The sequence below is a fragment of the Homo sapiens genome, chromosome 8, assembly GCF_000001405.40.
Source record: "Homo sapiens chromosome 8, GRCh38.p14 Primary Assembly".
In the NCBI taxonomy this organism is placed as follows: Eukaryota; Metazoa; Chordata; class Mammalia; order Primates; family Hominidae; genus Homo; species Homo sapiens.
In genome coordinates this window covers 124,550,172-124,567,044 of record NC_000008.11, presented here as the reverse complement: position 1 = coordinate 124,567,044, position 16,873 = coordinate 124,550,172, and the positions used below count along the sequence as shown (strand labels likewise).

Sequence of the window (16,873 nt, the reverse complement as noted above, 5' to 3'; positions counted from 1 at the left end):
AGGATCAAACCAAAGAGGTAAAAGCTCAAGGCCCTGAGTGTTCCTGTGGCATGTGTCACGTCTTAAATTGTAGTCATATTCACCACGTCCTTCATGATGTAATATATGAAATCACCACAGCGAGCTGTTACATAGAACCTATTGTGTGTCAGGCACTGTCCCAAGCTCTTTACATAGCCTGACTTCCTCCATTCATCTTCATGATTATGCTTGTTTTATAGAGAATGATGCAGAGGCACTGAGAGATGGAGTCACTTAGCCAGGTTCAGCTAGCTAGCAGGTAGTGGAACTGATATTTGAACCAAGTTGGTCAGGTTCCAGATCCCATGCACTTAATTGCTGTGTTCATCTGCCCTCTAGAAGTCAACCCTCCTAAGAACACGTCGCTGGTGTGTTTTGATTGACACTGTCAACCATTCTCCATTTCTCCCATTCTAATTGAGCAATGCATGGAGAGCTCTCTCATCTTATGAAAAAGATGACATTTTTATGCTTTATTCATTTAATTCACATCACACGCACACTATGGGAAGAGACATATTTGGGGGAACTGATGAATCACATGCTGGCTTTTGTGCTTGGTAACAATCTTTTCGTCTCCTTGGAGAGCTGGCTCAGAGGGCAAATTTGGGAGCTCATGTTTTCTATTCTATCAAATTATATTTATTAGACCAGAGCATGCATGCATTCACTTGACAAATAAACATTTACTGAGTGCTTCTTATGTGAATGAAAGGTGGACCTTATACTCATGTGGTCCTTTGTCAAGCAACGGAGACAGATATAGAAATAATGGTGAAAGAATTGGCTTGTTCTTGATTCTGTCAGGCTTTAAAATTTCTAGTGCTGGTCAAATAGGGCAGAAATGACCACTGAATATCAAGTGGTTAAAATGCGCTACCAACAAGTCTGGGAACCATGATTAACTTTATGGCATTACAAGAGGAAAATCCTGTAAATTCTAGCCTTGGGTATAAATGGCTGTTATAAATTATTAATTGGTCACTGTATTTCTCCCTCTCTCGACTGATATTTCATGATTTTCCTTTTCCCTTCCTTTCCTTCTCCCTATTAATTATAGTTTTACTTTCTCAGTAAAAGGATTATGATATTGATGGATTTGGTACTGTGGCTCTTCAATTTAAAAAAAATTTTTTTAACATGTTTTGCTTTCATTCCCACCCCCACGATGGCAGCGTTTTGATGCTTTGGTGGATGTTAAGCTTTGATGGCTAACGCTTCCCCTCTCAGCACCTCATTCACCCAGCTGGCTCTGTCCCCTTAGGTGATTCTGGACTTGAAAGGTTCTGATTACAGCTGGTCGTATCAGACGCCACCCTCTTCCCCCAGCACCACCATGTCCAGAAAGTCCAGTGTCTGCAGGTGAGTGAAGCCGGGGTCCACTCTTGCTTTCAGGACGGGTCATTTTTCTTTATGCTAATGTGAGCAATGGAGCCAGTCCTTATCTCTTAGAATGGCTCATTCTCAAACAGGAAATGGGATGATGAGCTGAAAGAATGGTAATAATTTTGGTCTTGCTCTTTAGTCTCTGGATTAATTTTGGATCAGAAAGAAAACCCCATTAGCCCTTGACTTGTGGATGTAGCTTATTCTCTCTCACTTGTATGTTGTAGGGATTTTCCTATTCTATGAGATCACATTTGATTTTCCTGTTTAGCAGAGTGAAAACCTTCTAAGGCCTAAAAAATGGTGAACCTGGGTTGATTTTTACACAGGCTGATCTCACTGTTGCCAGAACAAACGAAGGAAGTAACAATGGCTTATGCCCTCATTTCACCCCATATTTTTGTTTCAGGGTTTCATAAAGTAAATAGAGTTCTTGCTCTGTCAGTCACTGCTACTACTACCACCACTACCACGACCACACCTGTATTAATTAGTACTGTTCCCTATTGGAACAAAATCTGTTGGAATAGTTCTGCCATCTGCAAAACTGTTGTCTAGCAATTTTCTGTTAGAAGTCAGTTCTTGGCTTGCCGAGTAGGAAAGTTTCTTTTCCTCTCCTTGAAAGATGGAAGCATGATGTACCATCTATCTCTCTTGGTATAGTAGTCCTGTTACTCTTTTAATTTAACTTTCAAAGCCAAATGAGTTTCCACTTCCTGTGTATTAGCACTGAGAGTAGAGGGCAGGATGTATCTGCTCAATCTGTCTGTGGTGATGTTTTGGTGCACGCTGATGCCTATTTCCTTTCACTGCGGAGCTTGTACACTACACACTTAGCAGGAAGTTCAGACCTAAGACGCTGCATCCTGGACATTCTGCCCCCTGAAGATATTGGTTTGTTTCTTATCTTCTGTCGACTGTGTGTGTGTGTGTGTGTGTGTGTGTGAGTGAAAGAGAGACCTTTTTATTGTTGCCAAGAAAAATCTCTCATTAGTGTAAAACAAAGTTGCGTGGCTGTTTTTTTCTTCCTTATAATTTTAGTTTGAGTAGAAAACCATGTTGCACTGACATCTGCAACTCTGAGGCTGCCGGGGTGGAGTTGCTGTGAGCTTTACTGTCGGTCCCCAACTGCCGCCTTCTGGCTGACTGGAGGGGAAAGTCAAAAATCATGATATTTATTCCTCACTGCAGCGATTTCCTCCAGCACGCTCCCCTATGTCTGTCTGAACATTTGCACCAAGTAATTCTAGTGTAGAACAGTCACGCGGCCCTTGAGTACCTTATTAGCTGCCAGATTTTGCAAGCCAGAGTCTCTTGCAGGCTTAGGAGCAGAAACCATGACTTTTCCTATCCCAGCCCTAGTTATTTACTTCATCCCTGCTGCTGCCTCTACAACTGCTCTTTTTATTTCAGCTCCGTTTGTTTGGACCATGGGAGTCTGTTTTCTGCTTTTTATGATCTAAGTTACTATACAGAGTGTGGAGCATTTTTTTTTTTTTTTTTTTTTTGAGATCGGGTCTCGTTCTGTTGTCCAGGTGGAGTGCAGTGGCATAATCTCAGCTCGCTGCAACTTCTGCCTCCTGGGTTCAAGTGATTCTCCTGCCTTGGCCTCCCAAGTAGCTGCGATTATAGGTGCCTGCCACCATGCCTGGCTAAGTTTTGTATTTTTATCAGAGGCGGGGTTTCACCGTATTGGCCAGGCTAGTCTTGAACTCCTGACTTCAGGTGATCCACCCGCTTTGGCCTTCTGAAGTGTTGGGATTACAGGCGTAAGCCACCGCACCTGGCCAGGAGCATGTTTCTTTTGAGTGGAGATGGAAGGCAGACAGAAATCCAGAGCGGGTGTGTCATTATTTGACATCCTGTTTACTGTGCCATTTCAAGAGCAAACAGCTGAGCATTGATTGCCCTTAGTCGCTGAAAGCTGCCTGCCTCTTGCCAAGTGTGCTATTGTGCCAGACCCACAGATATTTTAACACAGAAACAGCTGGGGTCAGAGTAAAAACATTAATTAAAGCATCACTTTGTTAAAAGGTAAAACATATGCACACCAACATAGTGAGTTGATTTGCTGATGTTCTTGACAGCGGGCTTGACCAGACTCAGCTAGGATGAAATCACCTCAGCAAATCCATCGGCAGTGCTTAGCTGGGTTGGCCTTGGTCATGTGGACCCAGATGGTCCATCCAAGAACATTCCAGTCATGCTGAAGCCCCAGTGGACTTTTGCTGCAGGCTCATGGTTCCTGCAGGCAGATTAACCCTGTCCCTTTTCTTGCTACTGACATCAGCTCCCCTCGTTTTGGTGGTAGGCGAAGCAGCAGAGTTGGGCGCACTTGACGTTTTAGAACCCCAGACCTCCCTCGTAAGAATGCCACATGGTTACCATCGGAGACCTGAGTCCTGGCAGCTGTATTTCCCCCTGGGTCACCTGGAAAAGCATTTTGTTGACTACCTTCATGATTTGGTGTTTTGAAAACGTGTTTTGTGGTTTGCACTGCATCTCCAGGGCAGAGAGCTAATTGCATTATGTTGTGCTTCTCTCTCTTCTGCCTCATCTGTTCCCCTCCTTCCTCCTTCCTCTTACCACTGCTCCCCTTTCTTTACCTTCCGTGCCCACCCCTCACCCCTGCTTGTCCTCCACAGCAGCCTGAACAGTGTCAACAGCAGTGACTCCCGGTCCAGCGGCTCCCACTCGCATTCCCCCAGCTCACATTACCGCTACCGCAGCTCCAACCTGGCCCAGCAGGCTCCTGTGAGGCTGTCCAGCGTGTCCTCCCATGACTCAGGATTCATATCCCAGGATGCCTTCCAGTCCAAGTCACCATCCCCCATGCCGCCAGAGGCCCCCAACCAGGTAAGGGTGCCCTTGGCTCCAGGAGCAGCTGTCACACCTGGTGTCCTGACCACTGTCAGTGGCCAGAACCAAAGAAGCACCTTGGCTTAGACAATCCCCTGCCCACTGACTTGAGAAACCTCTGGTTTAATTTCTCATCTTTAGATGTATTGTTCCCCTAAAGGGAGAGGTGCTATAAGTGGGTTTGAAGCCTGTCTCCATGGTGGTAATGGTTGCATTACCACATCGATTTGGGGAGCTCTCACGTAAGTAGATGGATTGAAAGAGGTTTGACCACTCTCAGGCGTCCCTGTAAGTGCCCAGCTTGGCATAATTAAATGCTATAATTAAAGGGCATTGCACAATGGGGACACCTCCTCCCCCACATCTCAGGTTCTCCCTGAATGGCTGAGATTCTATGGTTGAATAGCGCTTCCGATACCATCCCTTGGCGCTCTCAGGTTCCTTTTATCAATCTGTGTTGAGAATGAGAATGAATCATCAGAGCTTCTGCACATAATTCTGTTGGCACTTAGATTCTGGAAGGGAAGGTGTGGCAGAATCTCTTCAACTACAGCTGGGTTTAATGGTGCTAGGCCCAGCCCAGCCCAGTGGTTCCAGCTGGAGCAGAACGCAGGAGCTGGCCAGGGCATCTGAACACTCTTCATGTGCATCATCAATGTATGTGATCCTCTCTCTGTCCTCTCTCCCTTAGTGTCATTGGGTTGGTGTCGGCCTTGAACTTGGCAAGTAGCTCTACATACAGAATGCTGGGTGCCCCACAGCCCCACCTGCTGGGAAACCCATGTCAGAGCTCTGCGTTCCTCTCCTCACAGCTCAGCGCTCCCATTAGCATTTTTCAGCCATCCTGGGGACTGTGGCCTCTGTCTGCCTTCCTTGGATACACACTCAATTTTAAACGCACTCAGAGCCAAGAGCCACGGCTATAGTTTGAGAGTGCTTGAGAGTGCGTGTCCCACCTGGGGTGCTTGGCTTGGTCTGTAAGGAGCTCCTCTTCCCCGCTGTGTGCTTCACTAAACCATATGTGCTGCTCACAAGCAGAGAGGGCAAAGGGTCGGGAGGAGGGCTGGAATGTGCAGTTCCTCCGGGCTGTTCTAGTGTGCAGCATAATTGTGTGTGTGTGTTTAATTGACAAATTAACATAGTAGTGTGCACTGACGCCCCTTTCTGAAAAGGAGAAGCCACGTGCTGCAGCCTTCCCTTCCAAGACTGTGAGTGTGGATGGGGTAGAACAGAGTGTTTCCCATGGCATGGAGGGAAGCAGAAGAGGGCATATTGGGTTTACTTAAATCTGAAAACCTGTGCCCAAGACATGCGTGGCTAGCAACTCTAGGGTAGCTTTTTGTTTTGTCATGTTATGTTTTTAAGACAGTCTCGCTTTGTCACCCCAGGCTGGAGTGCAGTGGTGCAATGTTGGCTCACTGTAACCTCCACCTCCTGGGTTCAAGCGATTCTCCTGCCTCAGCCTCCCAAGTAGCTGGGATTACAGGCACGCGCCACCATTCCCAGCTAACTTTTGTATTTTTAGTAGAGGTGGGCTTTTGCCAGGCTGGTCAGGCTGACCTCAGGTGATCCGCCCACCTCGGTCTCCCAAAATTCTGGAATTACAGGCATGAGCCACCGCGCCCGGCCACTAGGGTAGTTTTAATGAGCTCAGGGATGCTACAAAACTTAATAGAGAATTCTTATTTTTTAAGAAAGGCATTACGACTGCTTATTATTATAAGGTAAAGGGGAAATTGAAGGTCATTGTACAGATCACATTAGCCAGAGGGTACAATCTCCTGAAGGCAGTAACCTCCCCTTTATTAGGGAGAAAGGGGGCATACATCTAGGAGGCGCAGGAGCCCTTCATTTCTCTACTGAGTAACACAGGTCTGAGATGAAAGCCGAGTGATGGAATTTGTTCAGAATTCTCTGGTTTACCTCCCTCCACTCTTCAAATTGTGCCCTCACCCATCTGTGCCCAGGAGTGGGGCCATGTCTTCAATGAGGGTCTCACCCTAGAGCCATTTATTCCATCTGAGTCAAGAGGTTCTTTATAAAAAATGAGCATAATTCCAAAGAAATCTGAACCTGCAGTCCTGCGGTGGGTTACTGTTTTGTTGTTTTATTTTTGTTCGTTTTTTTTGAGACAGGGTCTCACTCTGTTGCCCAGGATGAAGTGCAGTGGCGGGATCATAGGTCACTGTAACCTTGAACTCCTGGATTCAGGCAATTCTCCTACCTCAGCCTACCAAGTAGCTGGGACTATAGGCATGTGCCACCATGCTTGGCTAATTTTATTTTAGATTTGAGAATACATGTGCCTTGCATACTGGTGAGGATTGGGCTTCTATTTCCATTACCCAAATAGTGAGCATTGTCTCTGATAGGCAATTTTTCAACCCTCACTCCTTTCCTCTTTTACATTTTTTATTTTTTGTAGAGATGAGGTCTTGCTATCTTGCCCAGGCTGTTCTCCAATTCCTAGCCTCAAGCAGTCTTCCTGCCTTGGCCTCCCAAAGTGCCAGGATTACAGGCATGAGCCACCACATCTGGCTGTTTTTTGTTGATAAAGCCCTCTAAACCTCAAATTTTTTAAGTTCAGTTTCTCGACTGGGAATTGGCACAAATGTGACTTAAATCCAAACCTTCCATCTTCAAATCCTGGGCTGCTAACCAGACACTGAGCTCAGAGTGCAGCTGGGATGTCCGTCCACCGTGGAGTCTCTCCTTGCTTTGGGTCCACTGAGCCCCACACATTGTTGAGTGTCTGATTGTCTCCTTGCCCTTACAGGACAGGAAAGCGAAATCTCTGTTCCTTTGTAGGGACCTTTCTTTTGTAGGTGAAAGGGACAGAAATATGATTCTGGCCTCCTTGATGGTGAATACAGGAACACTTTCAGATAAATTACAATAGAGAGGAGTCAGCTTATTTAAACAAACTGAGGTTAAGCCAGAGATTGCAGTTAACAGTGAAAAAATTTAAAGCAAGTACCTGGATGGATGCAAAGCAGTGCCCAGGAGACCCAACTTACGTGACAGAGATGATCATTGTCACTCATTCATTATGTTTTGAGCACCAGCCATGTGCCAGGTCCAGAACTAGAAGAAACTTGGGTGTAGGTGAGATCATAGGAACAGTCCCTGCCCCAGCTGAACATCAGGAAGCCAGACTGGGAGCGCATGCCGTGGCTGACTAGGACTCCAGCAGGGACCTGGGGTTCCATCAGATCAGTGTAAAGCGATGGTTTCCCAAATGAGACCTCTCCAGAGATGGTTCATTCCACCCCACAATGGCCACCAGAAACATTGTGCTGACCAGAGGGCTTCACTGCCCCAAACCCCAAAATCACACTCCAGGATGAGAAACCTAAAAGTCTGTCTTGATGAGGCTTCATAGCTGGAAACCACCCCTCATGGATCCACAGGCTGCATTTGATGAAAGGAGACTCCAGGAAGTCGAGCCATTCCAGGCAGACATGTAGCAAAAGCCCGAGCTGGGGTCCGCCCTCATGCAATAAATAACACCTATGCACATAAGAGAGGTGACAGGCGGGGCCTCCCTGGGGACCTGGGCCTGTGGCACGTGAAGAAACACCCAAGAGAGCACGAAGTCCCAATGCCATGACCAGATATTTCGGTGCCAGGCATGCTTCTGGGTCCCAGCAAAAGACACACAAATCCGTGTCCTTGGGGACCCACAGTCTAGTGACCTAGGGCTGGCCGGGTCGCACGCTTCTTTTCAAGGGCTCGAAAGCCTCTGCATGGATGCAACTTTGGGGGAAAAGTAACCCTAACCCTCTGCTTCTCTCATCCTCCCCTCTTCTGTGTATATGTCTGTCTCTTTCTCTCTGTGTGTGCCCTTCCCCACTCCCATCCCCATTCCTTTTTTTATTTATTATATTTTGGTGGTGTGTGGCTCGGTTTCTGTTGGTCCCCTCGTGTGGCCCCTCCCCTGCTGCAGAACTCGTCCAGCTCGGCCTCCTCCGAAGCCTCGGAAACCTGCCAGTCAGTGAGCGAGTGCAGCTCCCCCACCTCTGTCAGCTCGGGCTCCACCATGGGTGCCTGGGTGTCCACAGAGAAGGTGACCGCCCGGGTGGCAGCCACAGCGGCCCCACTCTCCCTGGTCCCCCTGCCTGCTGCTCAGACAGCCCTCACAGCCGCGGCAACCTGGAAGCTCAGAATCGACACCAAGAGTGGGGCTCCTCTTGGGGACAGAGGGTGGGACAAGGCTGAGGGCATTTTCTAGAATGAGTGCCTGGCTGCTGGACAATGACCACATGGTTGTCTCAAGGGAGAGGAAGGGGTATGGGGAATTTGGAGGTGTGAAGGCTTTCTCCCAGACCAGGTGTTGCGTGCCTGTCCATCCTCCTCCCTCCCTTCCCGAGCCACCCACCAGACCGTTGGATGAGCCATGTCACTGTGTCAGAGGCTGTGTGCTTTTCCGCTTTTTAGTTTGCACCCCCACCCCCCTGCCCTTGATTGAGAATGTGCTCCTGAGCAATGCGATGATTTTGGAAACCTAGAATGAACAGATTCATTTGAAGATGCTTTGGAATTTTTAAATTTGCATAATGAAATGAGCAAATCACTATCACCATTAAATGAGGCTTCATTAGTTACATTATCAAAAACCATTGACAAGGCCACAAATTGAGGGCACTGATCAATTTCCAAACTTCTAAAACGTAGGTCAAACATAGATGCTTATTTGCTGTCAAACTCATGTGCATTCTTTGCACCCCGGCTCTTTTCTCTTGCATCACAGATCATCCGTGAGCAGCAGAGCCCCAATGTTTGTTTTATTTATAAATATTCAGGTTTCCCCTCCCTTGAATGTCAATGCCATTTTGTATCTCCGCACTCATCCTGTTATATTAATTTTTTTTCCTTCCCCCCCCCTTTTTTTGTTTGTTTCCAGTTGTCTAACGGGTTTTCTCACTATAGTTTATCAAGTGAGTCCCACGTGGGGCCCACGGGTGCAGGCCTTTTCCCTCATTGCCTGCCTGCCTCCCGCCTGCTCCCTCGGGTCACCTCTGTCCACCTTCCAGACTACGCTCATTATTACACCATTGGGCCCGGCATGTTCCCGTCATCTCAGATCCCTAGCTGGAAGGTTTGTGTCTCTCCCCCTCCTCCTCTCCCCGTCATTGCCTCTGTGCTCACCCCTCTTCTGTTCCAACCCCCTCACCCCGACTATCCCCTCATCCCCTTCCTTTCACACTCTGCCTTCTTCCCCATAATGCCTCTCCCTCAGGAAACTCCCATTGGGGGAGAAGCAGAAAGCAGCCGGCAGCTCTAAGACAGCAATTTCCACAGGTAGCTGGGGCTGAGGGTCTTCCTTCAGGGGACTTTGGTCAATCCCTGATGGACGGCAGTGCAGTGTGCACCGCAGGCAGCGGCAATTCCAAGTCCAAAGGCCCAGTTTTGCATCAAGTTGAAATCTATGGGTTGGTCCCTCCCGGGGGCCACCTGAGGGTGTCAGCATGATCAGAGCTTCTAGGGGGTTTAGGGGGGACTTTCCTTCTGGCCATGTTTCCCATTTTCCCTAATGAGCTCCCTGCTGGGCTGTGGTAACAGAACCATAACCCAAAGCAGGTTTGGGGTGATCATGTTGAACTTAACAGTACACGCAGACTTTAGTTTTAGTCTTGAGTGTTCAAACATGTTTGCTTTAATATAAAGACGAACTTTGAAAATGATCCCCTAGCAAGTCCGATCAATGCTCCTCCAGGAGGATAATCTGCTCTCTTTTGAGAGGAGGACCCTAATTTGAAAAGTAGGCCCCTTGGCTGCCAGCGTTTTAAGCAGGTTTTGACTTTAGCCCTCACAGGCGGTGTGGGCCTCTCAAGGCTTCTCGGAATCTTTCTACTGCCCCTGGGCGCCTTCCTTTCCTTCTGAGGGCTTGAGAGGGCAGGGAGCCTGCCATGCCCTTTGAGGCTGGTTTCCTGGGAATGGAGGGAGAAGGGCTGATGTTGCTTTAGTGCTCGCTGGTGGCCATTCCCCTAACGGGAAGCCATCTGGGTTGTTAAGGAGCGCTGGTCCCTTCAGACAGGAGAAGCACGATGTACTGCCCACTGGTGGGTCCCCTTAGCTTACACCGGTCACCTGTTAGGTGGCTGCCGGGTCTCCTGCTGCCACCTGGTGGGTGAGGGTTTTTAATCTTTGGGCAGAGACGAGGAAAAGGGAGGTACACAGGGGGCTCCCAAAGGGTTTCCATTCCTTGCCCTTTAGAGCCTGGAGAGGGCATGCAGAGGGCCTGTGGCTTGTCCCAGCCGGAGGTTCCCCTTAAGGGGACCAGCTGCCTTCTCTGGGGAGCTGTCTATGGGGTCCCCGCAGCCCTCCAGTGGAGGCAGAGGCCCTGGCTCCTGACCGCACTTGTTTTGCATAGGACTGGGCTAAGCCTGGGCCCTATGACCAGCCTCTGGTGAACACCCTGCAGCGCCGCAAAGAGAAGCGAGAACCGGACCCCAACGGGGGAGGACCCACTACCGCCAGCGGCCCACCTGCAGCAGCTGAGGAGGCTCAGAGACCACGGAGCATGACTGTATCGGCTGCCACCAGGGTGATGCTCTTGTTCTCAGTAGCTGGTTGGGGCCACCTCAGCCTGGCTGGGGATCACATTCTGGCCAGCAACTGGGGGGCCAAGGCAGCCTTGCAGCTGGAGGGACCTGGGCTCCATTCCCTGACTTCCTGCTCTACAGCAAAGTCCCTGGGAAAAAAACCTTGTGTGGGAATGAGAGAGGCAGAACTTTCTAGGGTCAGAGTGGGACCCAAGCAAGTCAATAGCCCCCTGGCCCCACAGACATGTAGTGCTCACGGGGGCAGAACAGGAGTGCTGTTGAGCCCCCCCCCTAAAGCAACCTGTGTATTTCTCTCCTCCAACCTGCAGCCTGGTGAGGAGATGGAGGCTTGTGAGGAGCTGGCCCTGGCCCTGTCTCGGGGCCTGCAGCTGGACACCCAGAGGAGCAGCCGGGACTCGCTTCAGTGCTCCAGCGGCTACAGCACCCAGACAACCACCCCCTGCTGCTCTGAGGACACCATCCCTTCCCAAGGTACGAGGCAGCCTGGGGTGTGCACTTAGGCTTTCTGAGCAGCACCAGGTGAGGAGATAGAAAACTGCTGGTCCATTTTAACCACAACCCACCACTCGCTAACTAACAGGTGTCAGGATTGTTTTCGTCATCTGGGAATGCTTTGGGGAGCTCATCTGTAGTTGTCAGGTAGCTGCCATATAAGAAAGGGATCTGGGGTCGGGCGCAGTGGCTCACGCCTGTAATCCCAGCACTTTGGGAGGCCAAGGCAGGTGGATCACGAGGTCAGGAGATCGAGACTATCCTGGCTAACATGGTGAAACCCCATCTCTACTAAAAATACAAAAAAATTAGCCGGGCGTGGTGGCAGGCGCCTGTAGTCCCAGCTACTCAGGAGGCTGAGGCAGGAGAATGGCGTGAACCCAGGAGGCAGAGCTTGCAGTGAGCTGAGATCGCGCCACTGCACTCCAGCCCGGGTGACAGAGCAAGACTCTGTCTCAAAAAAAAATAATAATAAATAAAGGGATCTGGACTTTCACAGCTTTTTGCGTTTTGCAGCATCATATACAGCAGTCTCCAATTTGAATGGAGACATGTGCTGTAATAAGAATAGCTTCAGGCCAGGGCAGTGGCTTACGCCTGTAATCTCAACATTTTGGGACTTTGAGGTGAGCAGATTGCTTGAGCTGCAGAAGTTCGAGACCAGTCTGGGAAACATGGCAAAACTCTTGTCTCTACAGAAAATACAAAAATTAGCCAGGTGTAGCAGCACACACCTGTGGTCCCAGCTACTCTGGAGGCTGAGGTGGGAGGACTGCTTGAGCCTGGGAAGTCGAGGCTGCAGTGATCCATGACTGCATCACTGCACTCCAGCCTGGGCAACAAAATGAGACCCTGTCTCAAAGGAATAGCTTCATTTTTGTTTTAGCACTTTGCACTACACACTTTATGGTTATTTTCTCATTTAATCTTTACAGCCACTTATGGGGTAGGTATTTTCACCCCTATTTTACAGAAGTGGAAATTAAGGCTCAATAACTCGCTCATATTCACACAACCAATAAGTAGAACTGGAGTTTGAACCTAAGTGTGTTAGAGTGTAATGCCCAAGTTCTTAACCTATTCCAGCCAAATCCTCTATCAAACCTGCCTCCTTCATCCTCAAGTCCACTGCACACACAAGTCAGGCAAGATGAAAATCTAACAGCTAGAATATATCTATGATAATTGACCAAAAGCTATGCCATTCATCATTCAAAACCTCTAAGACAGTGAGTCTTATTGGAGGGTGATTTTATTCCCCAGGGGACATCTGGCAATGTCTGTAGACATTTCTGGTTGTCACAACTGGAGGGGTACTATTGGCATCTAGTGGGCACAGGGCAGGGATATTGCTTAAACATCCCAGAATACACAGCACGGCCCCTCCCCACCACGTCCTCCATAACAAAGAACTATCCAGCCCAAATTATCAATAGTACGGTGGTTCAGAATCAGGGCTGTGAGCTGTTTAATCTGTAAGCTCCCACATCATCCTGAGATTGGTCTTACAAGGAAGTGAGCACATGACACTGATGGAAACTGTCTTTGTCCCTTATTGTCAGGGACTCACTGTCAGTAGCTTTGTTCTTTGTCTAGCCCTTGCCTCTCCAGTTAATTATCAGGGAGATGTTATAGCCTAGGCTAGTCTATTTGAGGTTTGATCTTCACGTTGAGTTCTGGACTGGAGAATTTGTCTTCTTTCATCCCCCTTATTCCTCCCAGAGACGCTTGCAGGTAGCTTCGCTGCAGCCTAGCAGCTTTACCTTCTTCCCCATTGACGATATTTGAGTGCCTACCGTGTCCAGCACTGTTCTAGGTACTTGGGACACATCAGTGAACAAAGCAAAGATCCCTGCCACGGAGTTCTTAGTTGGTGAGGCTTTCTGAAGATGGTAGAGAAGCCTGGGGGAAGCTTGGGATGAGACTGTGTGTGTACCCTGCCTTGCGTGCCTTTTGTCCTCCCAGCCCAGAAGAATCAAAAAAGCACAGCTGCTGTCTTGAATATGTCTAATCAAATCCTATAATCAGTTTCAGATTATGATTATTTCTCTGTAAGTGGTGACCAGGAGGCAGATCAGCAGGAGTTCGACAAGTCCTCCACCATTCCAAGAAACAGCGACATCAGCCAGTCCTACCGACGGATGTTCCAAGCCAAGCGTCCAGCCTCAACTGCTGGCCTCCCCACCACCCTGGGACCTGCTATGGTCACTCCAGGGGTTGCAACTATCCGACGGACCCCTTCCACCAAGCCTTCTGTCCGCCGGGGAACCATTGGAGCTGGTCCCATCCCCATCAAGACACCCGTGATCCCTGTCAAGACCCCAACCGTCCCAGACCTCCCAGGGGTGTTGCCAGCCCCTCCAGATGGGCCAGAAGAGCGGGGGGAGCACAGCCCTGAGTCGCCATCTGTGGGTGAGGGCCCCCAAGGTGTCACCAGCATGCCCTCCTCAATGTGGAGCGGCCAAGCTTCCGTTAACCCTCCACTTCCAGGCCCGAAGCCCAGTATCCCTGAGGAGCACAGACAGGCAATTCCAGAAAGTGAAGCTGAAGACCAGGAACGGGAACCCCCAAGTGCCACTGTCTCCCCAGGCCAGATTCCAGAGAGTGACCCTGCAGACCTGAGCCCAAGGGATACTCCACAAGGAGAAGACATGCTGAACGCCATCCGAAGGGGCGTGAAACTGAAGAAGACCACGACAAACGATCGCTCAGCCCCTCGCTTTTCTTAGGTTCACAAGAAATGCGCCGGTGGGGAATGAACTGTTTCATTAATAAAACCTAATTTGTCTTGATCCATTCCACTCTATAATAAAACAAAAGATTTTGTAGGCAACTCGGAATATAGCTCTTTTGAAAGTACTCGACACCTTTAGATAAGAATTAAAACCAACCTATGTAACTGACATAATCTTGATCTTTTAATTTGTAAATATTGACAATTTTCTTTCTGCACATTTTAATCTTAGTTTCCCTTTTGATTTTTCTGAAGGTGCCAAATTCCATTTAACTTTTTTACAAGTCTTTGTAAAATTTTAAATGCATAAAGGGGGTTGGGGCAGGGGAACCACGAAGTAGTTAATTTTAGAAAAGGATTTACTATACTTCACTCTTCTTTTTTTTTCCCCACAAGCTTTTGTAGATGCATTGTAGTAGTCTAGCTTAGAAGCAAATGCAAGTTATTTTAATGTACAAACTAAATGGGTAAGAGGTAAAATCTTCATTTAAATATACTATGTTCTGGATGAAAAGAGCAGGAGTAACAATTGATGAGCAATATTCAGAGTGAAGTAAATCTGGAAATGGTAGACTGTGTTGGGATTGGGGGGAGGGCCATGGGAGGGGTACATCGTCAACATAGCCGATCCTGTTACATTTAAGAGTAGCCTCGTAGGTTGAATTTCTTCTGGTAGCTTCATGGTAAATGCATCCGAATAAGCCATACTGGATTGCAGTGTTTGTTTCTGTAGGGTGTTTAAGGACTTGACTTCCTTTCTCCCATGATTCCTCTGGACTGCACACAGCACCCACAACCAGCCCCATGCATGCTGCTGCCTCTGGGCAGTCGTAGAATCTCCCACTTCAGTTTCTCGTTGATTGTACTCACCTTTATGGAATCCAAATACATCCAAAAGGGTAAGGCAGTTTTAAAAATGTGAAAACATTTAAAAATGATAATAGCAGGGAATTCTTAGATTATAGTAAATGCCTTTTACTTAACTGTGCCCAGCAGGCTGGGTGCGTTAAAAAGCCCAAGTATTTTGAAAAAACTCGAACAGATTTGACAAGGGTAGCCAGCTTGGAGTCTAGCAACTTGCCAATGTGTTTACCAATCTGGGGGCTTGTTTTTCTTTTCTTCTTTCAAATAAATGGCAGTTAACTGGCTTTACAGTAAACATTGAAGAGAGGAGGATTTGTTTATTGTCACTGGGAATCTGACCACTATACTGTCCTTTTTTTGTATTCTGGGTAAATGTTTTTTGGAAAAGATTTGTCTTTTCTAAGTGGAAGTTAAATTTGTTATACTGCCCATCCCCTAAAGCCAACAGAGATTTGTAGATTTAAAGGGATCACATTTGAAGACAATAGTGTTTAAGAAAGCAAGCAAGTCCCTTAGCAGTCAGGTCATAACAGGGCACATTTCTGACCGAACCCTCTCAAGGCAGAGGAGGAGTTTGGTGGGTTTCATACACCCTGCAGATTCCTGTTGGCTCTAACCCTCAATTACCTAATCTTATGCTTTAACACATAACTGCATTGGATGTGAGAGTAACGTACCGTATGGTCATTGTTCTATATATTAACATTGAACACTGCTGCGATTGCTCAAGGACATTTTATGTTACGGCTTTAAAGCAAAGGCATGATTATTAGAAACTATTTAAGCTTTTTTCTTTGAAAAACAAGCTCCTTTTACAGAATATAAACAACAGTAGTGCCTGTGGTTTAGCCCACCAATCTTGATGACTAAAAGTAGCTGATGCATTGTGCATATGATGCTTGAGATGGTTTTTGCAAAAGCAGAAATCGCTGCAAGGTAATCACAATAGATAAAAGTGGTATTTTAAACCTTTGAAATAAATGGATGTAACTGTACCTTGGTACAGCTTTTCACTTGTTTAGTTTTTAAACGTTAGTATAATCTGAATAAATAAAATGTTGCCAAATTCAATGTAGAAAGAATGTGACAACACACCTTGGGTAGTTCTGCTTGTGTTTTTGCATATTGTAAAAGCAGTGTCACAGCTAAAAAGAAAGAAATCGTTTCTAACAGTAAATTATTGTGCTTTAGTTGCTAGTTTGTACTGAGAGTTGACCTCTCCCTGTGCAGTTTTTTGTTCTAAACTTGTATAAATAACAATTGTGTAATGTGTCTCCCTCCTACATTGTAACAATTGCTTCAGCCTACGTTATAAATAAAGAACCACTAGATTAAAAAAGTCCTGTATTTCAAGTCTTGTTACAATTCAGTTTGAGGTCTTAGTCAAATGTTAGAAGATGGACTGGGACTCAAATTGAGCTTACGTAGAAAAGTGACAAAATATTTTTGTGATGGCTATAAGATCATTAGTTGCCTGAAACTATTTGAAAACAGTTCTAGCTAATGAGGGATCAAGAACTAAAAGCAGCTGTTTTGGGTTGAAAGTTTTAAAAACTGCTTTATCTTTAAAAAACAAAAACAAAGCTTCTGAAACATTTAAGGAGTTCTGTTATTCCCTTACCTTTGAGTCCGCAGACAATCCAAGCTACGGTAGCAGAAGCAAAGCTGGAAAACTGCTTCTAAAATAAGCGCCACAAAGTTTTATCCCAGATTGGACCATTTAACCCCAACCATCAAACCTCCACCCCTGACAGAACTCCACAAATTCCATGCTTATTTGTTGACTATGTACTTCTTAGGGAGAGTTGTTCTTCTAATAAAAACTAAGTTCCATTAGTGAAATCTTTAGAAAACCAAAAAGGTTATTTTTAAATCCTCAGTATTTCTGTTCTTGGCTTTGTTTATTCCTTCTAGTTACCACAGCTAATTAGGCCTTTGACTTGAGAGTTTG

At 47.1% G+C, this 16,873-nt stretch overlaps 1 protein-coding gene across 34 annotated transcripts in view, besides 1 other annotated feature; it reads left to right on the top strand.

Moving 5' to 3' along the window:
* Positions 1–16,261, top strand: part of MTSS1 (MTSS I-BAR domain containing 1) — a 177,690-nt gene extending 161,429 nt beyond the window's left edge. For 6 of the 34 annotated variants that reach the window (XM_006716701.3, XM_005251111.3, XM_011517403.2 and 3 more), the window contains 5 exons: positions 1,286–1,383; positions 4,053–4,263; positions 9,170–9,364; positions 10,640–11,303; positions 13,353–16,261. In XM_006716701.3, coding sequence (XP_006716764.1) covers positions 1,286–1,383; positions 4,053–4,263; positions 9,170–9,364; positions 10,640–11,303; positions 13,353–14,053 — 1,869 coding nt within the window. In that variant the 3' untranslated portion in view covers positions 14,054–16,261. Of the gene's footprint in view, positions 1–1,285; positions 1,384–4,052; positions 4,264–8,212; positions 8,333–9,169; positions 9,365–10,639; positions 11,304–13,352 lie in introns of all 34 variants that reach the window. The other 28 variants (NM_014751.6, NM_001282971.2, XM_047422491.1 and 25 more) reach the window with 16 other exon arrangements.
* Positions 4,980–5,069: a silencer, noted in NCBI's record as "silent region_19514". NCBI's record gives its function as "represses an Ori minimal core promoter by ATAC-STARR-seq in GM12878 lymphoblastoid cells {active_cell/tissue: GM12878}" and the evidence as "EXISTENCE:reporter gene assay evidence [ECO:0000049][PMID:35858748]".